Genomic DNA, 25,083 nt, shown 5'->3' with positions numbered 1-25,083 from the left:
TTGAACCTGGGAGGCAGAGGTTGCAGCGAGCGGAGATCGCGCCACTGCACTCCAGCCTGGGAAACAGAGTGAGTGGGACTCCATCTCAAAAATAAATAAATGAATAAATTTTAGGCCAGGTGCAGTGGCTCATGACTATAATCCCAGCACTATGGGAGGCCAAGGTGGAAGGATTGCTTGAGCCTAGGTGTTCAAGACCAGCGTGCGCAACAAACATAGGGAGACTCATCTCTTCAAAAAATAAAAATAAATTAGCTGGGCACAGTGGTGCATTCCTGTGGTCCCAGCTACTCAGGAGGCTGAAGTGGGAGGATCGCTTGAGCCCGGGAGGCTGAGGCTGCAGTGAGCTGTGATTACGTCACTACACTCCAGCCTGGGTAATAGAGTGAGATTCTGTCTCAAAAAAAAGATTTTAAAATAAAAATAAATACATTTTAAATAAAGGTTAATATCACAGAGAAAAGTGGACATCTGCATGAATGAGAGCGACGCTATATGGAGATGAACACCAACATTTATCCAGAAAATTCCAGACCCAGGATAGACATATTTTTCGTCAACAGGAAAACACCGTGTAAAGGTAGGAATCCTCAAGAGCAACAACAAATGTGTCACCTCTTATCTCTTCCTGCTTCAAATCTTCAACAAATTGGGGGTTTTTCTGTTGTTTTTGTTATTGTCATTCTACTCACCTTCTCAAACAAATTACAGGGCCTAGTAGTTTCACACCTGTTTTATAAGCAATCATCAGTTCATGATTACGGTGAAAAAAAAAAAACCCTATAATAAAGTGTCTTCCTGTGTCTGTTTAGCACAGAGAATAGGAACCTGGGGTCTCAAGTGAGAGGAAACGAGGATGGATTTCCCACTCCGCCACTCCCGGCTATGTGGCTCTGGGTCAGTAACTCAGGGAACCATCTTCTTTATCCATAAAACAGAGAAAATGGTAGGCTCTGCCTCACAGGGTTACTGTGAAGATGAAGGGGGTTTGCATATGAAGAGGTAGTTAATAGTGAGTGATGCCCACTCAGTGCTCAATATACGTCAGCCACATTGGCCACAAATTTAGCAAATGCCATCCCTCCCATATAAAACGAAATGGCCCCCAGCATAGCTGTTGCTTCTTTCTTTCTTTCTTTCCTTTTTTTTTTTTTTTTTTGAGACTGAGTCCAACTCTGTCACCCAGGCTGGAGTGCAGTGGCGCCATCTCGGCTCACCGAAACCCCACCTTCCTAATTCAAGTGATTCTCATGTCTTAGCCTCCCAAGTAGCTGGGATTATAGACATGCACCACCATGCCCAGCTAATTTTTGTATTTTTAGTAGAGACGGGGTCTCACCATGTTGGCCAGGCTGGTCTTGAACTCCTGGTCTCTAGTGATCCACCCACCTTGGTCTCCCAAAGTACTGGGATTACAGGCGTGAGCCACCATGCCCAGCCCAGGACAGCTTCCTGAAAGCAGGCCACCCCTGTGTCTTGACTTGGAGCTATAGGAGAGTTCCAGGGCCCCGCAGACTCAGAGGACTCTCTCTCCATTGCAGTCAAGCAGGAAGAGTGGAAAGTGGTGAGCACAGATTGGAGGTGTAGGAGCTGACTCTGCCCCAAACCCCTATGAGGACAGACACTTATCAAAAGCTGTCATTACCATCCCCTTACACAGCTTTGCTTCAGCTAAAACCAAAAGGCTCTTTGAACTCAGTTGACTGTCTGACAGCATAAGCTGGGCAGGTTTTGGCTTATCACATGGACGTTTGGGGACCTAACTGTCAGGTACATCCCTGGTTCTGCCTCTTGACAGGATGAGCCTGGAGCCAGTCAGTCACACTTCTGCTTTGGGTGCCCCTCAGTGACAGGGGGGTTATTAATATGCTGCCTCCCTCGCTGGGAGGTGGGAAAGCCCAGCTAATAATAGTTCTCATCAATAATGATGAGAATAACATGGCAAAATATGGTAATGAGTAAAGGGTGGGGGGGAAATCTATAGAAAGAATTGTTCTTTTTCACATGGTACTTGTTTCCCACTGTACATTGTAAACCCTTTGAATACAAACCACATACTTTTAATGCTTATACCATGAAGCTCCAAGTACTATCAGCGTTCACTGCACAGAAAGTAATAGTAAAGATTTGGGGAGCCTTAGGGATCCTTTCCAGCTCTTTGAAAGCTCATACTGCAAGCCCTTGTCGTTCTGAAGTCATGAGTTTCAAGTCTTTGTTTGCTGCTAGCATCACCTGCAGAGCCTGCCCCAGTTGACATCACTGGCCCATACATTTTGGGTTTTGCCTCAGTATCTCCCTTCCACCCTAGGCTTTCGCTAGTGATTTGTTATTCCTTTCCCTGCTGTGTGTTTGCTTGTTCGTAAATCCTCCTCTGATATCCTGACCTCTGGCCTCAGGCACACCTTGTCCAGTACTATGAGGTTCCCAGGCCCCCCTCATTTCCACATCCTTTCCCCAGCTCCAAAGACGCTGCTGGTTTCCTCGCACCAAGAATTTAAGGAGAACTCATGTTCTCCTTAAATTCTGCCAATTGGGAACCCTCACTTCTTATTTCTTCCTGCTTCAAATCTTCTGGGTTGCCTTGTGAGTCAGTCAACCTTCTGTAAAATTCTCTGGCTGGAACTGAACGGAAGACTCCACTTTCAAAGAATTTCAGGTTAGAAAGGCACGTCGGAAGTCAATTCCCATCTGAGCATTGAATGTTCCCTCTAGGATCGAGGCCAGGTAATTACTCAACATAACTTTGATCTCCCTTAGGGACACAAATCTCACTCTCTCCTGAAGCCATCGGAATTGCAAGTTCTTCATTCTGAGCTGGGAGGTCCGTCTCCTCCCTCGTTATTTAGCCTTTGCCTACATAACTGGTTGCTCTACAGAACGAACCAAGTCTCCATTTATACAATAGCCTGAGAGATAGCTGAGGGCATCCATGATGTACCCCAGAGTCCTTCTCTTCTCCAAACTGAACCTGCCATGCCATGGCTTCTTAGTCAGCCTCCTTTGAACATGTTCTAATAACCTCCTAGGAGCTTCTGTGCTTGTGACATTTCCTCATAACTGTTCCCTGTCTTTATTCTCTCCCTAAATGGCATGGACATGACCTCCCAGTGAGCTTGGACTCCCTGCTTAATGGTCTGGGACAACACAGAGATTCATGTCCAGACAGGGCTAACACAATGGTCCCCATTGTTGGGTGGCCAGCCTATACATATTTCCTATTACTTCCCACACATTCAAGTTGTCCCAAGTGTTCATACGACAATAAACACAGCACCAAAATACAATGAAGACCCTCAAAGCCGGTCTTCCAACAAGCCCTGTGTGCTGCCTTTAGGGTCCCATCATCCAGGGTCTTAGCCCTCTGTCCTCCTCTGCCTTGCCGCTGTCCTAATCAGAGCCCCTTCCCCATATTTGTGTTCTGGATGTTACCATTCATAAAGATAACAAGCAAAGCCACACAATATTCCTTCTTACTGACATAGTAGTAACCATTTCTACAGTACTTTATAATTTCTCATCATCTTATGTTAGTCTTCGGAGCGACCCTGCAGAGCAGGTATCATCCTCATTTTATACATGAAGAAACTGAGGCAGAACTGCTGCAACTGGAACCCAAAAGGTCTTGTGATTTCGTATCTGATGCTATCGCATTTATTCTATGTCCTGTTTACTCAGGAGCTTGCAAATCTTAGACAGAGAAAGTTTTCCAAGGTTCAGTTCTGAGCATTAAATTAAAACATGAGTTATACAGAAAAATGTAGAGCAATCCGGTTTCTATTTCTGGCTGTGCTATAAACTCACTCCTAGTTGAACCTTCCTGGTCCTCGGTTTCCTCATTCATAAATAAGGAGATGGAACCAGACAATCCCTGAAGTCCTTTCCTGCTCAGCTGTCCTTCGTCTCCCGCCCCGTCTCTGCCATGTTGCTAAAATTAGGCAGAAAACATTGTTGAAATACCTTTCTTTTTTGTTTCTTGTATTTTTGAAGTTCCCAAGATTAGCTGGAGAGTATTTGATAACACTCTGGCTAATCTGTCAAGAAGCGGGGGAGAAAACCTGCCATCTATTTAATAGCTTTTAAGCAGTTCAATTTCTGTAATGAGAAGATAAATCTGGAAACACCCACCAGAGGGATGCCTCTACAAAGTCCTGATGCTGCAAAAGAGCATCTTTGGAGCTACACATCAAGAGAGCAGCGACTCTCGACCCTGGGGCCTCTCACAATGTCTGCAGACATTTTTGGTAGTCACGACTGGAGGAGGGTACTGCGGGCACACATCGAGGGGTACAGGCCAAGGATGCTGCAGCCCACCCTATAACACACAGGACAGTCCCCACCACAGTTAGCTGGCCCGAGAGGTCACAGTGCCATGGCTGAGAAACTCTGTCTTAATGAATGACATCACAGAACGGCCCCAAACTCTTTCTAGTGTTTCAGCTGAGCTAGTCCACGTGAGGGGCTAACCAGCTGGGCTCATCGGAAAGAACCAAGGATCTGAACAGCTCTCTTACCGTGCAAAGAAGGAGGCGGCCACCGATGTGCCTGTGGAAGTCTCGCTGGCCACGCAGGAGCCCTGCGAGGCTGGGACACTGCAGGCGGAAGGCTTGTCTGCATTGTAGCGGTTCAGCACTGCTTCTGTTAGTCCCTCCCGGCTACTCTCTGTCATCAGCTGGGAGATCTGACAAAGAAAATGGATACGGAGCTCATTACCTGTGGCTCACTGCTTTTCCTGACCACTGACAGCATCTCTCTATTTGGGGGAGGGAGGCAAGAGGGAACAGGTTTCTATCCCACCTGCATTCAGTTACACGTGGATGCTTAGGGCTACTGGAAGGCTATTTTCCAGCATTTTAGCTAGGATACTTCCCCGTTTTCATTAAAAATAATGGTATAAAATTATCCCCCGACATTGTAAGTTTCAATTATGTCTGTGTCTTCCCTCCATTTGGAGGGGAAAACATGAACCATTATCCATGCACTCTTTGCAGCCCAAGACCAGAACAGTAACATTAACTAATGCTGGCTTCTTACCAGGAATAGCCCCGAATGCTCTGAAATGGAGCAGTGGGGCAAAGGCATAGTTCTATGAAGAGAGAAGTAAGCCTGCTAATAAAGAACATAAGGAATCAAAATACAACGGTATTTGGTGGTGCTGGTGGGGGTGGTGGTTTGCTGTGGAAAGTCAATAAAACAGGCAACATAGAGAAACTAATAAAAATAAATATAGCCACAATGAATTACCAATATTTTTTGAAGGGTTCAGATCATTTCAACAGACTTCATTTTCCTGCTGGTTCATTAAGATAAATGGCTTCTGTTTCATTCGAAATGATTGCCTTTATAATGGAAGTTCTAGTGGATGGAGCTCGGTCCATTTTGCCTAAATCTACGTAATAAGCTGTGAAGAATCAAACTTTGGGGCAAAACAAGGATGTTGTGTAGAAATACACTTTTGAAAAGTGCTAATCCCCACGGCAAATATAATAATTATGCAGGCAGAGTCTAAGTATTTGGAAAACCTGTTACTTGAAATCTTCAGTCTACTTGCAAAAAAAGAAAAATGTCAGTTTTTTAAAAAAGAGGAAACTTTAGTTGAAAAAAAGTCACCAGTCTATTCAAACCCTTAAATGCTAAGTGGAAAATGTTTCCAATCACCTACTAAATACAAGTGCAATAAAGCAAAGATCCGGAACAGTTTCCACTTTGTAACTGAATAGGCCAGCGAGCCCTAAGAGTAGCCCATTTGTGAACCTTTAAAAGTAAAAACATTTCTACTTTTCATTATTAGCAGAATAGCCATTACTCTGAATCCCATTGACTGGGAACTTTGCTCCGCTTAAATTCATGCTCTTACTTGGAAAGCCTTGGCATTATTCAACGGAAATTCTGCCAACACACACTTTCTTATTCTCATTCATTTAACGCATTATAAGGAAACTTGACCCAAGTGACAGAAACTGGAGAGGTGGCTGCAAAGGCAGCTGCTGGCCCGGAGGACATTCCTGCTGACGGAGCAGAGAGCCCGCAGAGCCTCTCCTCCGGCTTCCTTTGCTGCTGTGTGGTGCGGGCTCCCGTCCACTGGCTGCTATTGTCCCCGCGGAACAGGGCAGCTTGGAGGGCGCAGCTGAAACAACTGGAAAGCTGAGGATGTGGCGATGCACACCGTCATCCCCACTCAACAGCATCGATGAAGCTCCAGGGCGCGCATCATGCCTCCCGGACCATGTCCAAAGACAAAACAAAACCCCCAAATTCATGCGACAACTTTTTTTTTCCCCCAAGAATCTAAGACATACATCTGATTTTGACACACCGTGACATGTGAAACAAGCCACTCTGCCTGGGTTATTTCCTTTCATTACCATATTTCTCATCTAAAATTTGGAGGGAAGGGATTCCTTATGCACAAACTGTCCTGCAGGTGCCCTGCAAAGCCAGAGAGCAGCCGCTGGAACGCGTGTGGTGAATGGCAGGATGCCTGACACAGAGGCACAGCTTTCTGGGTGGGTCCAGATTCCCACATCTGGTCCAGAAGGGATGTCAGCGACCTGTGGGTTCACAGCTTTTGAAAATGTCTCTGGGCAAATGAATTTCAATGCACGAGCTTCCTGACTAGAAAGCTATTGGCTATCTTGTGCCAAGCAAGATTGTTTCTCCTAATTTTAAAGAATCAGGGATTAGTGAGCATGAGACACCAAATTCCCAAGCCTATAAATAGAACTATTCAATCATCAATTGTTTTTAAAAATCAGGATCACAGAACGTTCTAGAGCTAGAAGGGATTTCCAACATCATCATCTTCAAAACTCTTCTCCTTAGATAAGACACCTGAAGACCAGAGAAGCAATTTGCCCAAGCCAATTTGTATCTAGGAATAGGACCCTGACTCTTAAACCATTCCTAGCACCTACCTCCTTCCTTTAACTGCCCCTCTTCTAATTTAAGAAAAAAAAAAGTCTTCCCCTTCTAATTAAAAAAATGTGATATATAGAAAAAAATCCAATAATAAAACATACACATGTATCCACTACCACTATTCACAAATGTTAGCATTTTTTATCTTAGAAAATATTTTCTAAAAAAAAACAAATATTATGTAAAATTAAAACTGCACATTTTCCTAGTCACGCTGCCTTTCCTGCTCCATTTTTCAGACACAGCCAGTGTCATGATGGGGCGGGGGCAGGTCCATGTCCTTATTTCTCATGGTGTGCTTTCCATCACACTCCCTCCCTCCTTAGAACCTAACAGCTCATTTTTTGGTTTCTTTTGTGCATTCTTTAGATTTTGTTCTGCTAGTTCCACAATGGGGAGAGGGCATCCCTCCAAATGCCTGCTCTATAGACTCTCACCACCTAAAAGATCATGTTCTCATTTGTATTTATGCCCAGTATCCTCTTCAGAGATGACAGACTTTCAGAAATAACAGACCAGGATTTGGCTACAGGAACTGCTAATTTACCTCCCCCTCAGTTTCACACTCCAGGGCTCCAGCCTCGGGCAAGGTCCTCAAACACACCTCCTGCTCCTTCTGCCGTGGGGCCTTTGCTCTCCATATGGAATGCTCCCACTTTTCCTGCAGATGTAAGCTCAAGCCTCACTTCCTCCGAGAAGCCTTCTTCCAGCCTATGCTTCCTCTGCTGGATGCTTTTACAGAGCCTCAATCTTTTCCCTCAGTATCTCCACTTCGGTTCATATCATGCATTTAATAGTAAGTCATTTTCCCCCACTACACAAAAGCCCCAGGTCTCTAGGTCTAAGGCTGGTTTGCTCACCACTGTATACCAAGGTCAATACAATGGCTGGCACACAAAGATGCTCAAAACATGTTTGTGAAATAAATCTGAGCTATTCTTACTTTCTACTGCTCACGTGTATCTACGTAAATTTTCTTAAGTCTTTTAAGTAAGAGTCATTTCTTTAAAACATTTCATTGCTTTTCTATTTTGTTTGATTCTTTTTTTTTTTTTTTTTTTGAGACAGAGTTTCGCTCTTGTTGCCCAGGCTGGAGTGCAATGGCGTGATCTCAGCTCACTGCAACCTCCGCCTTCCGGGTTCAAGAGATTCTCCTACCTCAGCCTCCAGAGTAGCTGGGATTACAGGCATGCGCCCCTGTGCCTGGCTAACTTTTTTTTTTTTTTTTTGTATTTTTACTAGAGACGGGGTTTCTCCATGGTAGCCAGGCTGATCTCGAACTCCCGACCTCAGGTGATCCGCCCACCTCAGCCTCCCAAAGTGCTGGGATTACAGGCGTGAGCCACCGCGCCTGGCCTATTTTGTTTAATTCTTAAGATATGACAGTCTTTTCTCCCATCCTCATCACTGTCAAAGGATAGTGTTTTGGCTCCACAATGTTTGGGGATCAAGAGCTGCCTCTTTTTTAGTCTACTAGTTCATTTGTTCATTCATTCGTATGAACAACCATGTGTTGGGTGCTTGGTATATGTCAGGCAAAAAAAAAAAAAAAAGTAGATGCTGAAGATTCAGGAGGCTCTAAGAAACGTGCAGACATTTCCTGTCAATATCTTGTGCAAAGACAGTCTGCAAGATAGTGCTCCAAAAGCAACTTCCATTATCTCTGTTTAGCTCCATTTTTATAATTCTGAAAAACAGAAGAGCGAGGCTTGCTCTCAGTAGAAGCAGCTGTAGCTTCTTCAACAATTACAATCATATCCATTGTAGATGATTCTGAGCGAGAAGGCGCCTCCCTGTTAGACCGGCTATGGTTTTTCCCGCATACACTGGTATGCAGGTCTTTGGAGTGCTGAGTTGGATGGATAACTTCTTACCAAGGTGCCATCTTGCTTGCCACCAAGATACTTGCTAATAGGAATTTACTCTTCCTCAGCCCTGCAAATCCTCTCTAGGGTTGCAGGGTTACAGTACCTTCGGTTGTAACCGAATTGTCCTATTAATCAAAGAAACAAAATAATGACCTACTACATGAGATCTGGCTATGAAAGAAGCACTCCAATCCAAATTCTTTCTGAAGCTCTCTGAAACGGTGACAGTGTGTCTCTGAGTTGTTTTTATGTCAAGCAAAGAATGGCAGTGATCCATATTCTATGACAATTAAACAGTCATTAACAGCATAAGGGATGCCCTCAGATGTGTCTATCCCTTTGCTGCTGATAACCTCTCCTTCCTCATAGAAGGCACATTGGAAACAACATTAAGTTATGTAGACTGGTTGGCTATTGTTTCCACTTCACAGATGAGAAAACAGAGGCGAGGAGAGGAGTCCGATGATTGGTCCAAAGCCACTCAGCCGTCAAGTAGGGAAGTTGAGCTGGAAACACAGGCCTCTGATTCCCGTTTTTTTCCCCTTCCTTCTACCATCTGACCTCAGTTACTGAAGTTTACTGAATAACCTGAGCACCAGACAGACTTGGGGGATTACAAAAGGTAAACTTTGCTTAGTCTCTGTCCTCAGGAGATTTGAAAGGAAGGTAGATAAAGAAACTTGTAGTCAGCCAGAGACAAATGTTCTGTCCCTTCTCTAAAATAAGAGCGTGTGTCTGTGTGTGTGTAGAAATATTATCTGTGACTTGGAAATGCGGAAGCTTCCAAAATGTGTTTCTAGCCAAGTCTTGAGGTCAAAGAGGCCTCTGTGGGGCCTAGAAGGAAGACTCCATATTCCCTTTCTCAGTTCCCATACGTGAGCCCCGCAGCACCGGGCCTGGGTGCCGAGGCCTGGGGAGGAGGAGGAGCTGAAGCTTGGTCACTTCCGACTGTTTCTGAAGGAAAGAGGCCCTGGGCCCACGGCTTCAGCCCTGCTCAGACCAACACAAACAAGCCTCACGCACCTCAGGCCCCTACCGTGAACTCCCTCATTCTTCAGGCTTCCCACCTCCAGCCGGTTCTCAGGAGTGGCTTCCACTGAATTCCTTGAGGGACTTGAGGAGTTGACCTCCCATCCCACCTCCTCAACAGCACTTTTCCTCTTGGCTTTGGAATTTCATCTCAAGGCAGTGGCCTTTCCTACAAGTCAGTGCGACTCCCCACACTTCAAAGCAAGTCTTCCCAGGAGAGACTGCTTCTTGCTGCTACCTATAACAAAGATGACTCTGGATGTAAAACTCTGCTGGAAGCCTTGGCTACGCTAACTCCACTGGGTGTGGGGATGAGCTCCCGGAGGAAGCCTGCCCCTTCTCCAGCCCCATCTCTGGCCCCCAGGCCAGGTGGGCAGCCACAAGACAGAGCTAAGGACAGGCTTTACTGGATGCATACAGATCCCTCACTGCAGTCCTGAGGTGGTCACCTGTGGATTCCAAGACAATTCAACCCTTTCACCAAAGAGGGAACTGAGGGTCAGAGAGGTTGAGCTCCTTCCCCAAGGGAAATCAGCTAGTAGGAGGAGGAGCCACGGTTGGGATGCTGATCCATTCGGCTGAGGTGGCTTCTGTGCAGCATGTCAGGCCTCAGTTCCATCTCCCTCCCTCCACTCTCCCCTTCAGGACCACTTCCTAACTCGAGGCTGCCCTCAGAGCCCCTCCCTGCAGTCCACTATTAGAAGATGTTCTCCTGAAACTTGAGCCTCACTGCATAATTCTGAATCAAGAGCCTTACTTTTGTTATTTATTTATTTATTTTTGAGATGGAGTCTTGTTCTGTCACCCAGGCTGGAGTGCAGTGGTGCAATCTCGGCTCACTGCAACCTCCGCCTTCCGGGTTCAAGCGATTCTCCCGCCTCAGCCTCCTGAGTAGCTGGGATTACAGGTGGACGCCACCATGCCCAGCTAATTTTTCTATTTTTTTAGTAGAGACAGGGTTTCACCATATTGACTAGGCTGGTCTCAAACTCCTGACCTTGTGATCCATCCACCTCAGCCTCCCAAAGTGCTAGGATTACAGGCGTGAGCCACCGCACCTGGCCAAGAGCCTTATTTTTAAAGGACTATGGCTTACATCTGCGTGTTAGACTCTTAGGAATTTATTTCTTCTCTTGCGATACTGTGAAAGATACATGATTCTTCCTGAGAAAACCTCCAAATATCCATCTAACATGTTTGAAAACCCTACAGTGCTAGTGGAAAGGCCTCATTATCTTCGTTACGTGTATGTGTCACTGTCACCGTCTAAAAGCAGTGGCCGAAAACACACGGGGTGGTCCTAATCACAAGCTTTAAGGGGAACTAAATTTTCACCACGGGATTTTATTTGGTTTAGTTCTGATTGAAACCTGTTTTTAGCTCTCCATCTTGATTACAGGGGACCATTTCACTCCTTAAGGATATCTGTTACTTTCCAAACAGCACATCATATCCCTCGGGGTGGTGGGAAAATGAATACAGGTGGCAGCAAAAGGGGCCAGGCTGCAGGGAGAGGGTGCACATGTGTGTCTGCGCAGGTGTCGACACGTGTGCATGTGCGTGTACATGTGACATTCTCAACGTCCATGAGAATTCCGTGCACCATTAACGAGCAGTGAAAGTCTGCTTTTCACAGGCCACATCGAAATAAAGCTTCTCCTTCTATTTTAACTTTTAATTCACGTCTTTCAACCACATTTAAATGTCTACACTGATACCTCAGTATGAGGAGCTTGGTACTCATTCCCAAAGAAAGAGAGAATCCCAAAGAAAGAGAGAATCCCAAATGTGGTTACCATCTTGACCACAGAATCAAGATAAAAGACGTGTGGCTCTTCCTAAGGTTGCTTCCACAATGCAAATTGCAATCTGTAAGCTGCTGACCTTTAACTTCTACACTGAAGGAAGGACTCTGAGAGCTACCAGAGTGTGTCAGCATGGGCGTTCATCTTAAACGGCATTATTGACCCAGAAAGCTACCTCCCTCTGACTCTGCCAAGACAGCAGGGAACACCAAACAGTATCCGTTTCCTGTGTAGAGACATCTACGGAGAGCAATTGCTTCCTACTCAGTCTTTAATTAATGACATTTAATGACAGGCTCCCCCTCCTCAAATCCCAGAAAATAACATTTAATAACATTTTCTCTTACACAATTAATATCTCACTGCCTTGGGACATCTTTTATTGCTATCTGCTACTTACACTGTTACTTAATGCTTTTATAGTTTTGTAAACAGTGAGTGCTTGATAAATATTTCTGATCCAGGTTAGCACAAATCAACTCACAATTATCTTGGAAAAGACCATCCACAGCTAATTTGTAAACCCTTAGTATTGTCTTAGGATGTGTCTATGCTGTCAGCCGTTATGCTCTTAGAATATGCCAGAATACATTTCTGTGTATTCTATAAAATATAAATTATGAAAGTCAATCTGCAAAGGAAAAGATCAAACAATGCACGCCCGGATCAAAGTTAAATAATGTAGAGTTGATCACGCCGATGTTCCACTGCAGTCAGACACAGAATAGAAAGCTGACGATGATGGACGGAGGGCACCTTACTCCAGTCATCACGATGCAGTGATAGAGTCCACATAAGCCTTATTCAGTCTTTGCTCATAAGAGAGAGAAAGAAAAAAAAATTATGTCCCTTTCTATGTATGAGTCTTTGACTGCAGGAATATGTCTCAATCCCCACATCAAGTCACTTCTGGAGCTGACTATAAAAATGTATCTGGCAGAGGGGTCTCCAAGAACAGGCTCCCTCTAAGGAGCAGATGTCACTTTGTCACCCCACCAGACCCTTCCTTCCAGGTCAAGGACAAGCAGCTACAGAGGACTCTTGCTCTGACACCCACAGATGCATGCCTCTCACTTCAATGCCACTCCCCCGGCGAGGTGAAATGCTTCATTTTATGAGTTATGTTTATTTCTTCCTTGCAGGCAGAGAAACAGATGAAATGACTCACTGAGGAGGGAAGCACTGGGATGCCTCCTAACCTGGGACGGCTTCCTCTTCTGCAGCGTCTGTGTTTGTCAGTGTCTCCTCTGGATCAGGCAGGCCTCAGACCTCACTAAGCTATTCCACTCAACTCTTTCTTCCCGTGCTTCCTGACTCCAAGGTATCAGGCAAACTTGTTGATCCATTTAGACTTCACTCTCACCCTGCTTGTCTCTTTTCTTCGCGCACACCAGAGCTACCCAGAACCGCGGTGATGCCTTTCCCTGGCAGGGTCAGGCCTACTGTGGCAGTGTCATGAACCTTTCCTAAGCAGGATTTGTGAAGAGGGCAAAAGCTGGCATCAGCAAGACATGTTTTGGTTTAGACGTCTCAGTAGACATTGCAGCAAGTTAACTATTGCTGGGTTCTTGTTTGAATAAAATGTACTAAAAACTAGGGCAATAAAATGGATTTTCTCTGACCTATCTCATCAAAAGAGTTTTTATTTAAAAATAATACAGAAGAGCAAATATTGTATGATTCCACCTATCTGAAGTACCTAAAATAGTCAAATTCATAGAGTTATTGTTAACGGGGGCAGAGTTACAGTTTGGGAAGATGAAAAAGTTCTTTTGGTGGTAGATGGTGGTGATGGTTGTGTAACAATGTGAATATACTTAATGTCACAGAACTGCATGCTTAAAAATGGTGAAGATGGTAAATTTTAGGTTATATATATTTTACCACAATAAAAAAAGAAAGAAGGCCAGGTGGGGTGGCTCAAGCCTTTGGGGGGCCGAGGCAGACAGATTGCTTGAGCTCAGGAGTTCAAGACCAGGCTGGGTAACATGGTGAAACCCTGTCTCTACCAAAAATACAAAAATTAGGCAGGCATGGTGGCACGCGCCTGTAATTCCAGCTACTCGGGAGGCTGAGGTGGGAGGATCTCTTGAGCTTGGGTGGTTGGGGGCTACAGTGAGCTATGATTGTGCCACTGCACTCCAGCTTGGGTGACAGAGCGAGACCCTGTCTCAAAAAATAAGAGAGAGAGAGAGAGAATCCCACAACACCAGAGTGTTACTTGTTCTCAACTTGTTCCACGTGGCTACCTACCTGCTGTGCCATTTTAGAGAGTGTGGTCATAAGGACCATCAACGGTGAGGCCCGAGTCAAGAGAAGAGGGCCAAGAACCCAGGGTTTCTGTCTTCCAGTGACTGATATGCCTCTATAGATGTCACGAGGTGTGTTCTGCAGGGTGGCCTCAGTGACAAGATCCCACTTTGCCTATGCCCCAGGCCTACAGGAGGAAGAACTGGGATGGGAAGGAAACTCAGAGAGGAGCTAAGCTCGGAGAAGAGGGAGGAGATGGGCAGGGGAAAGCCCCCACACAAACCCAACTCTTTGGTTAAACGTCATCTGATTTCTTTATACTTGCATGAGTAATACTTGCATCCTTCTTTATCTTCCCTCACACCTGGCAAGTCACACGTGAATGACCAGTTAGCATTCCTTCCATAATGTAGTATTCCAGAGCTGGGGTGGTTCAGATCTTTTCTTAGGCTCACGATTTGCTTTTAGGCATTTAAATAGGATATAGCTTTTTCCTGCTGCTGTTGGCATGCTGTCTGCAGAGAAACAGCAGTTACTGCCCAAGCTGAAGCTTGCCCCAGACCTGGCCTAGTCCTCGCAGTTCATGTGGACACAAATCACCTCTGAGACTCTGAGGCTGGCCTTGAGTCAGACAGATAAACTCCTCTCTGTGCTGTCCAGCACCCCCAGCCAGCACCCCAGGCCAGGATGGGATTCTTATGTCCCAGGGCTGGACGTTTGATTACTCTTATTATCTTAGCTTGCTTTGGCTATAAATTTTATTAGTGGCCATAAAATTATCCATCCACAGCATTTGACTCAGTGACCTCTTGCAAAAGAGAATTCCACAACTGGCGATACGCAGGGCCTAGGAGGGCTGCCTTTCCTTCACCCTCAATTTATAGCCCTACCTCCAGCACTCTGCCTTGCATGATGAGACTCTGCAAACAGAAGAGGCTGCTCATGTTTCAGGATTCCCATTATCGGGGCTCAGATCTGGCCCCTCAGCACCTGATAACTGTTTTCTTTTATCCTTTGTATTGCCAGAAGATAAAGGGGCAGGGCTGCCCGCCTGCTCCAGGAAGGACCGAGATTCAGCAAAGGGCCAACTGCATCTCTATCTGGGGTTCCTCCCTTAGATTTCTTAGTTCCAACATGTGTGGCTTAAGATAGAGATCAAGCTTTTTAAAAAGAGTCTCCTAGAAGAGGTGATATGGTCCCACCATGAAGCTTGCAGTTTTGCACATATGCATGTGAATTCACCTTGCAGGTATGCTGGATCTCAATACTTATTCCTCAGTGATGTTTTGGGGGGTGTTTTCAGCGACATAGTCAGGGTGTATAATGAAACAAGGAGTCCAGTTGACATGATGAGATCAGCTTCAGCCTCAGAGGCCTTTGAGGATGTGAAACAGGTGGGCTCATAGATCATCATTATCACCATTGCCACTTTTGAGCACTTACCATGAGCGGGCTTCTGTTCTGAGAGCTTTATTTGTATTGACACATTTAATACTGACAACAACCCTGTGAAGCAGGCACAACTGCGATCGAGTAAGAGCTTCAATTCCGTCTGCCAGGTGGAAAAGCCCTGGAGCAGATAAGGCCTGTGGGCTTGGTTTCTCGCTACTCTTGAGTTCATATTGGGCAGCTCAGGCCCACATCATCCAGAGAATGTACGGCTCAAGTAGAGCCACCCTCTTCAGAAAATGTGCTAACAGCAAAAGATTGTATTTTAAAAAAAAGAATCATTTGGGGCCGGACGCGGTGGCTCACGCTGGTAATTCCAACACTTTGGGAGGCCGAGGCGGGTGGATCACCTGAGGTCAGGAGTTCAAGACCAGCCTGACCAATATGGTGAAACCCCGTCTCTACTAAAAATACAAAAATTAGCCAGGCATGGTGGCGTGTGCCTATAAGCCCAGCTACTCAGGAGGCTGAGACAGGAGGATTGCTTGAACCCAGGAGGCGGAGGTTGCAGTGAGCTGAGATCGCACCACTGCACTCCAGCCTAGGTGACAGAGCAAGACTGTGTTTCAAAAAAAAAAAAAAAAAAAAAAAGAATCATTTAAGAATCATTTGAATGAGTGATCATAATTAGGATTATTTGAATAACTGAGCACAATAGGCTCTCTCTATCCCGTGTTTTGTGATGTTTATGATCAAATGAAAATAAAATCAAATGGTCTGAATCTGGATGTAATTGATTTCACTTTCAATTTGCAACTCAGCAAATTCAGACTGAGTAGTCAAGATGGAATCACAACCCTAATCAACTCAACCCTGATGTCAGGGTCAGGCCAGAGGCTACTCCTAGGCCAGCTCCTATGTACAGAATCACCTGGGGGCGGCTCTTCTATTGGGCAAAGGCTACCACTGTTTCTCACTCCCAAATAGTCAACCAAGAGCCAGTGCCCCAGGAAGCATGTCTTGACCACTTGTTCCCCGCACTGAATGATCAGCGCCACCCCCTCCACAGGACTCCACTGACAGTGGACACTGTCCATGCAATCCCAGGGCCTACAGCATGTCTTGCTTTGTAACTGCCTGTTGTCAGTCTCTCTCCCCAAGTAAATAGTCAACCTTAGGACCTTAGGGACTGTGTCTGTTCTCCTTAGTATTACCAGTATAGGATGTGTCTGGATATGGAATTTATCTAATAAATACATTAATTCATACATTAATTAACAGATGTATACAAATAGGAATGGACTTAATTTAGTTGGGTTGGGGTTGTTGGAGTTTTGTTTGTTTTTAAGGGATAAAACTTTGTTTTCACTTGATTTTTAACATGGTGAATAGGGTACAGAAAGCTTTATTGAATGAACTAAGATGCTTCGGCTTATACATAATTCAATATAGTGGTAGTAAGACAAATTGCTGGATTCGGGGAAGAAAGGGCAAACAAGGAACAAAGAGAGAAAAAAGAACAAAAAGAAAAAGAGAGAAATGGGAGAAGGAAGAAAAAAGAGAAAAACAAAAAGCAATGTACACAAAGAGATGGGAAGCGGGGAGAGAAAACCAGTAATTGTTCATCTCAGTCAGTTTGAGTGTGAGATGCGACAGCCACAGCTGCAGAGCTGGAATTCTCTGGAATATGGGGCAAGTAATCATAGGAATACAGGTTCCAGGAGAGGAGAAACCAAACCCAGAGGCTAAAGGGCCCCACCCTGCCCCGGTTCTTCCCCATACCGGGCATGAGTTTCAGCTACACTCAGAGCTCTGGGGCACCAGAAGATGAAATGCACAAACTGACAAATTTAAAGACCCTGTCACAAAATTGAGCCACCCTCTTTCTTTTATCCATTTAAAAAATAGACCTGGGCCGGGCACAGTGGCTTACACCTGTCATCCCAGCACTTTGGGAGGCCAAGGCAGGCAGATCACTTGAGGTCAGGGGTTCAAGACCAGCCTGGCCAACATGGTAAAACCTTGTCTCTACTAAAAATACAAAAATTAGCCAGGCGTGGTGGTGCGCACCTGTAGTCCCAGCTACTCAGGAGGCTGAGGCAGAAGAATCACTTGAACCCGGGAGGCAGAAGCTGCAGTGAGCCGAGATCGCACCACTACACTCCAGCCTGGGTGACAGGGCAAGACTCTGTCTCAAAAAAATAATAATAAGTAATAAAATAAAATAAAAAATAGACCTAACCTTTGAAGAAAAGAGCTTGGAATTTTTGACTATTGAATACGTGCTTTATGTAACTGTTGCAGAGTGGCATTGTTTATTAGTTATGCTGCCAAGGGGAAAGACAATGAGATTAAGAGACTGAAATTAGATTAGCTGGAACTGCTGCAGCATTTAATTCTAATACACATCATGCCCTTTTCTATCCATGTTTAATCTGCCATGTCTTTCTTGTCTGTGGAGCCCATGAACATACATCTTTAGGCAGTCCCTTCCCAGGGCCTACGTCACCTCCATGTCCAAGTTCTTCACCTAAGTCTTGGCTAATGCTTGGGAAACTTTCAAGGCAACCAGCAGTGCATTATACCCTGAGCCACTCCATACCACAGCCACGAAGGAGATGCCCAAATTGGAGACAGGCTGGACCAAATTAACTTGTCACTGTAATCCTAGTGCCTAGCAAAGGGTGTGTCAGGCATCAGGCCCCTGGTAAACGTTACATTAAGTGTTAGGAACTAATTCTGGGCCTGGCTTGGTGGGAGCAACAAGGGAGGCTATGGGCGACTCATCTCCCCTCTCTTTGCCTCAATTTCCCCAGAGTGGGGAACGTGTGAGACTGCACATAGGATGACTGGAGGGCCATGCGGCTGAACGTGCCCTGTGCTTCCTAAAGTCATAATCCAGTCTAAAGCAGGACCATTTACAGATATTCCCATTACATCTCTAAAAAATGCCCCGACTTAACCTTTGAGTGGCCTTTGTGCAAAAACATACAAACATATCAAAAATGACAAAAAAGAAATTCCCTACCAAACTGGGAAAAAATTCCCAAACTGTCATTGGTGAACAAGAATTGTTTCAGAGTCAGCTGATTGTTCCAGAGTAATGCAATGGCTTACATGGTTCCAGTTTCGACTTGACACCAAACCTTGTATTCTGTTTGCCAACTGCAGAAATACCAAATCCTACACAATTCAGTAAGCAATTTTTAAAAATGGAGCTGGAAAAGCCCTTAGATCTATTCCAGGCCAAGTTCCATGTGGAAACATGAAGACACAGAAGCCCAACTTGGTGGGATGAGTGATCCTGATTCACACCCCTAGTTCACGCCACAGCCCGTTAATTGCAGCACTTATTCATGCATACAAAAAAAAAAAACAACATCAATAGGACAGCAGAACTCTGAAATGACTGAAAATCCTAGAAATACAGAGAGGGAGAGTCTCTGTAGGTTAGCCATAAGCCAGGGGCTCAGTTCTACCCAAATGACCAGCTGTGGGACCTTAATAAAGTCAATTAACCTCTCTGCATCCTAGTTGCAAAATCACAGATTTGCCATAAGGAATATTAACTAAAAACACTCTCAGGCATCTTTCTCCTCAAATAAAAATGGCTTAAGAATCAAAACCAATGCTCTAAAGCCTCTAATTGCAAACCTGCACACGGGTAGGCAAACATTTGTGGGCTGATCTTATGAAGATATTTGAAATTGTTCTTCTGCCTATTCCCTTTGGAGGTTCGGATCCCTTACTCCATGAGGCTGATCATCTAGACTTTCACATCATTCCTACATGTCCAGAATTCAAAGAACAGCTTGTCACAGTTGCTTCCCGGGAAACTCTGTTTCATTAATCCTAATTAGGACTGATCCTAATCTCGTCACCAGACCCATGACAGACTTTGCATCTGATGGTTTTCTAAACTGGTTTACCCAGGGCATTTGGAGGATTAATAAAATATGCTTATTTACATGTGTGTGTTTTCATTTTCTATTTCACTAGTAAAAATACCATTAAGAATGCTTTAAGAAGTGTAGTAATGTTTTGACTATTCTCCAAGTCCTTCCTTGAACCTGAATTCTCAAATTTAGGGAGATGGAAAAATCCTGGACCTCAGAAGATACAAAACTAAACTCCAAATTCTTTTTTTGCTGTTGTTGGATTTCTTGAGGTCTATACAATTTTCTCATCACTTCCCTGCTCTCTGCATCATTAGCACAGAGACAAAGCTCTTCTGTGAAAGTTGACACCAGAGAATTGTACCATCTCATTATGTCTTCACTAAGTAAATATTCTGCTTTTTTCCCCTGTTGTGGCTGTAACATTCCAGCCAGTGTCCTAATTTCTCCAGTTGGTGGTTCTGCTCAAATTTCTCCTCTGTTCATTTAAGACGCTGGTTTTCTCTTCTATTCTGCATGCTATGGCATTTCCCAAAGCTTGGCTATACTTTCCACTTGTTAGAACTTTATAATATGGGTCAGGCAAAGTCAATACCAACTAGCTTATTGTGAGGATATCTAACGAGATTCCCCGAGCTAATAAACCGGAACCAGCGAGATTGGCATTCCCTGACACCTCAGGGATCCCCAGCCCTGAGGGTGCTCTATTCTCAGAGTTGGACCCGGGAGTTCATCTCTTCCATATCTGCCCTTTTGTTACAAACCTTGAGTCCCTGGAGTCTGCTATTTAAAATAGAGCCAATCTTTTGGGATTCTTGTCTTTCATACACATTTGAAAAGCTATTCATCTAATCCTGAGTTAAAAGACTCTACGCTTTATAAAAAAAAAAAAAAATCAGTCTTGTTGCAATTCCTCAAAAATGAATGATCTCTTAACAACCTTTTGAGAGAAAGCAGCAACAACACCTCAGCTCAGTCTGTCCTCTTCCTTCACTGTCCCCTCAACTATGATTCCACCGCACTTAAAACAAAGGAACTTTGAAGTCTGCAGTGTTTCCATGTGTGTAGGGCAATGGTACAAAACCGTCAGCTTCTCAGATCCAGAGTCTGGAATCAATCAGGCCATCTCCAAAAAGAAGCCAGTGGCCCCAAACTACAATTTTTGATACAAATTGAGAATACGTAGCACTTGTAGTAAGCCCTTGTTAGCATGGACAACAAGCTATCTATTATGAAAGGTCAGTTCCATGAGGGCAGGAAATCAATCTTGCCTTTAGAGTAACTTTTACTTCCCTAAATAGTACCCTTAGAGTAAGTATTAAAAACTATGCTATTTGCATTTCCACAGGGCTTAACACCAGAAGTCTAAAACGTTGGCAAGAGTGAAACATGCACACATTTTGTACTTAGCTTAAGATTTAGTAGAGGTTTTTTTCCCCCAGAGCCTGAGAGGAGGCCAAAGAAACACACACACGTGGACACACACAGGCATGCAGACACACACCCCCCATGCACACACACGCATGCACGTGGACACACACACATGCGCGCGCACACACACACACCCCAGAACTGCTCTTCCAAAAGGGACGAGGCTCAAGCAGTGTTTTTCAGAAAGAATGGAAACTACTCCTTTGGGGGAAAGAATGCAAAGAAACAGCTTATGAAATATATAAAGGCACATTTGAGGATCAGTAAACATGCCCACTGAGGAAATAGAATAAAGAACCTCAAATTGGATTAGTCCTTAAAGGAACGCATCCGAAAAATGGGGTTGGAGGCTACAGAAGCTCCTTCCTTCTATAAACCTTTAAGAACAATATAACTAGTCAAGCTCGGCAGGGTGGTGTGTCCCTGTAGTCCCAACTACTTGGGAGGCTGAGGCAGGAGGATCACTTGAGCCTAGGAGTTCAAGTCCAGCCTGGGCAGCATAGCAAGACCCCATCTCTACAAAAAATTTTTTTAAAAATTAGCCAGACATGGTGGTGCACACCTGTAGTCCCAGCTACTGGGGAGGCTGAGGCAGGAGGATCATTTGAGCCCAGGAGTTCAAGGCCACAGTGAGCTACGATTGCACCTCTGCACTCCAGCATGGGCAACAGAGTGAGACCCCATTTCTAAAAATAAAAATAAATACAACAAGCCAGCTGTCTAGAATTCACTCCAGTACAGACTTACAAAATGAGGAGTTGTGTCAGATGCTAGGAGGAAAACTCTTCGCAGCCATGAGTTTTTTGATGTGTAAATACTTCTAAAGTCTAGAATCTAAACCACTATAGCCCCTAATCACTAAGTTGTAATTTCATGAATGTCCTAGACCGGCCTTAGCCCAGAATAAACCTAGTGTGTACTAAGCTTGCCCTTTTTTCAGTTGATTTTCCATCCAAGGCAGCCTTCAGTATGACATATCTATAACAATCCTATGTCTTTTATATTTCAGGCTCATTCAGCTTAAAATATTTCTTGCTATTGTCCCCTGCGTACATTTAGACACGTCAAACTCTGTCTCCTGAATTTGGGTTCACGGATCGCACTCACTCTAGTTTACAGACTATCAATTTTTAACTAGTCATTGGGAAGGAACAGGCAGTATTTATGAAAGATGCTTTATCTTCAAATTCTAGAAAAACTTCCCTCCAATCCAGGTCACCATGGGAATCGTTGGCCACATCCAAGGGTCAAACATAAAAAGGCAGCAGTGAGAATGAGAGGCGTGGGCTCTGTATCCAGCGAGCCTGCCAAACCTTGCAGACAGGAGGGACTCAGATGAAGGCACCCAGTTTAAAGGAACTTTGTTCTGTTTGTGCTTTGTTTAAATCCCAGAGTGGGAGATGACCTACAATAAGCCACTTGAACCTTTTTTCTCTGTAATTCTCCAGCTGAAATACAGTAAGTGGGAGTTCTTTCAATACTAGCTATGCAAGCCTTTTCAGAAGCTAAATTAGAATACTCCACAGCTACCAACGTGGAGAACAGCTGCTCAACAACAGGCTTGCAAGCTGAGGGCAGGCCAGCCCAGCCTCACCCTACTGCAGTCCCATGAGGCCTAGGGGAGCCTCAATCCTCCTTACCCACAGGCCAGGAGCCCCAGCCCTGCAAGCACTGACTCTCTCTTCCCTGTTGACTGCTGCTATTTGCAGTGGGGTGTTTTTTTTGTTGTTGTTGTTGCTGTTTCGGGGGTTTTTTTTGGTGGTGTTTTTGTGTGTGTGTGTTTCTTTGTTTGTTTGTTTGTTTGGAGATGGAATCTCGCTCTGTCTCCCAGGCTGGAGTGCAATGGCTCTATCTAGGCTCACTGCAACCTCCGCCTCCCGAGTTCAAGCAATTCTCATGCCTCAGCCTCCTGAGTAGCTGGGATTATAGGCATGTGCCACCACGCCCAGATAATTTTTTGTATTTTTACTAGAGATGGGGTTTCACCATGTTGGCCAGGCTGGTCTCGAACTCCTGACCTCAAGCAATCCGCCCGCCTCGGCCTCCCAAACTGCTGGGATTACAGGCGTGAGCCACCGCGCCCAGCCTGCTGTTTGCACTGTTGCTTATCTATTGGAAGCTGGAGTAATAAGAACAAACTCAGCTAAACTAAATTGGTCCTTTGTTTGCCATTATCATAAAAATTTTATGTAGGAACTAATAAAAACATGCTTTACGTGTGCAGTTACATGGGTTTACAAGGGCAATAATATCCAGCAAGTTACACCCATAAATTCAGTTATAGACACCTAGGAATAAATATGTTATCTCTCCCAGTGTTTTTGCTTATTGGAAGGAAACTGTGAACACAGATGCTTATGGCTGATCTGCGGCTTCTAAGGGCCCTTATGTCTCCCTGGATGCCTGTGAGATAAGAAAGGTCCTTTCAGAAGTTTCTGGATAATTTTCACACCTCTTTAGCCCCTTCAAAACTCTATATTAATCAGACCTCCAATCCATGTAAATGGAAAGCTTTTTACAAAGATTTCAAAAAACAAGTCGCTTTTGAAGTGAGTTCAGGATTTTCTTAGAATTTTTAAAATTAAACAAAAAGATTCAATTCTCATCTCAACTGGGAACTTGAAGCAGATTTACAATATATTTAATTAAAGAAGCTTTAATGAACTCCAAACCTAATCAAGAAAAAAAATGGGATCATTGGCTATTCAGCTTTCCCTTCCGTAATTCACTCTAAAATACACTGAATGAGTTGGGTTTTTTTTGGTCTTTTTTTATGTATTTTCTTTCCTTCTAGAGCTGAGCTTTCCAACAGAAATATAATGGGAGCCACAAATGCAAACCACATATGGAATTTGGGGTTTTCTAGTAGCCACATCAAAAAATTAAAAAGAAACAGGTGAAATTAACTTTAATAACATTTCATTTAACCCTGCATATCCAAAATATTATCATTTCAACATGTAATCAATATAAAAAAGTCTACTAATGAGATATTTTACATTCTTTTTAATGTACCAAGTCTTTGAACTCTAATATGTATTTTATACAGACCAGTCACATTCAGTTCAGACTAGCCACGTCTCAATGCTCAGTAGCCCCATGTGGCTGGTGGCCCCCATGCTGGATAGCAGGGGTGTAGAGAATCCTCAAGTAGCCAAGGTAATTTCAAAAAAAAAAAAAAAAAACTCACTATCTATGTGATTGTTTTATGCCCTGTGGGCATACATCCCTCAGGTTATAATTATGAATTTAGAATACTAGAAACTCAGAAAATATTAAAATTATATGCCATTTTAAGAGTCCAATTTGTTCTTGTCTGTAACCCATGGTAAAATAGGCGAATGTAAAGTAAATCAGGTGAAAAGGATAAATACTTAGGGCAGCCAAAAAGAAAGCCTATGTCAAAATTATCAGAGTCACATTAGAAAATGTTACCAGTCTGACCATCTACCAGCCTTAGGGTCCCCGCAGCTTGTTAAATACAGACCACAGTGAAATATCTTCTATATAAAATTGCACCCTCAGAAAATGAGCAGCCAATTTTCCTTCCATTTAATTTTTTTTCTTCAAAGAAGCCATGTACCAGATTTCTATAGCCTTTAAAAAGCAGTGTCTTCTCTCAGTCTTTCACCATTACTCTTTTTCTTAGCGTAGATACTAGAAATATCTATAAAGGTTATTTTGAAAGTAGGGGATTATACTAAGAAAGAAAGGTACTGAACATTGGTATCGTAGCTCTGATTTTTTTTAAAGTAAACTTCGGCAAATTATTCAGCTTCTCTGTGATTAAATGTTACCATCTGAAAAATCATCTCAATAATTCTAAGTCTGTATGATAGCCTGCGAGTGTTAGGCATAGTTTTTACTTGATGTGTTATTATATTTAATAATGCATATTGGTGCATCTTAAGCAAGTTTTTCTGGAGGGCAGGGACCAGAATTGCTGAACATACCCTTTACCAAGCTAACCAAAGCTCTGCATGCATAGAAATGCTTAATTATCATGCGTGTTGCTTCTCATAAGATGCATGAAAGTGCTGAGATAAGGGCTGTAAGTAAATGTAAAGGTATTTCTGTTTCTAGATTCAGAAGAGTGTGTTGTCTTGATATGAAACGAAGATTCTCAAAATGATCCTTTCTTCCTCCTCAAGGATGAAGGGACGATCTCCTTGGCAATAAGTCGGATTGACAACAGCGGAATTTGAAAATGATCTCAAAGGATCTGATCTGTTTTTGTATGATTTAAATCAAACAAAGAAAAGTCAACCATGTACATAATGTACATCCAAAATTTCTCACCCCCATCCCTTCCACCATACACAGGAAAACACTTCACATAGAAGGGGAGTGAGTCTGGACTCCAGAGAACCTAGCCTTCATTTTCAAGTGAACGAAAGGATGATTGTAAATGAGATGTACCCTAAATAAGAAATACCTCTAACAACTTTGAATAAGCTAATAAGATGACAGATAACAATAATAATGGTACAGTTAAAAGAC

The 25,083-nt window shown here is 43.9% G+C and overlaps 1 protein-coding gene across 1 annotated transcript in view; it reads right to left on the bottom strand.

Annotated features, from left to right (window-relative positions):
• The window catches only part of KIF26B (kinesin family member 26B), a 554,448-nt gene that overhangs the window by 285,176 nt on the left and 244,189 nt on the right, over positions 1–25,083 (bottom strand). Inside the window, exon 4 of the mRNA NM_018012.4 lies at positions 4,512–4,678. Coding sequence (NP_060482.2) covers positions 4,512–4,678 — 167 coding nt within the window. The remainder of the gene's footprint in view (positions 1–4,511; positions 4,679–25,083) is intronic.

Source organism: Homo sapiens, chromosome 1 (genome assembly GCF_000001405.40).
Source record: "Homo sapiens chromosome 1, GRCh38.p14 Primary Assembly".
NCBI lineage: Eukaryota > Metazoa > Chordata > Mammalia > Primates > Hominidae > Homo > Homo sapiens.
This window is presented reverse-complemented; position numbering and strand designations above follow the sequence as displayed.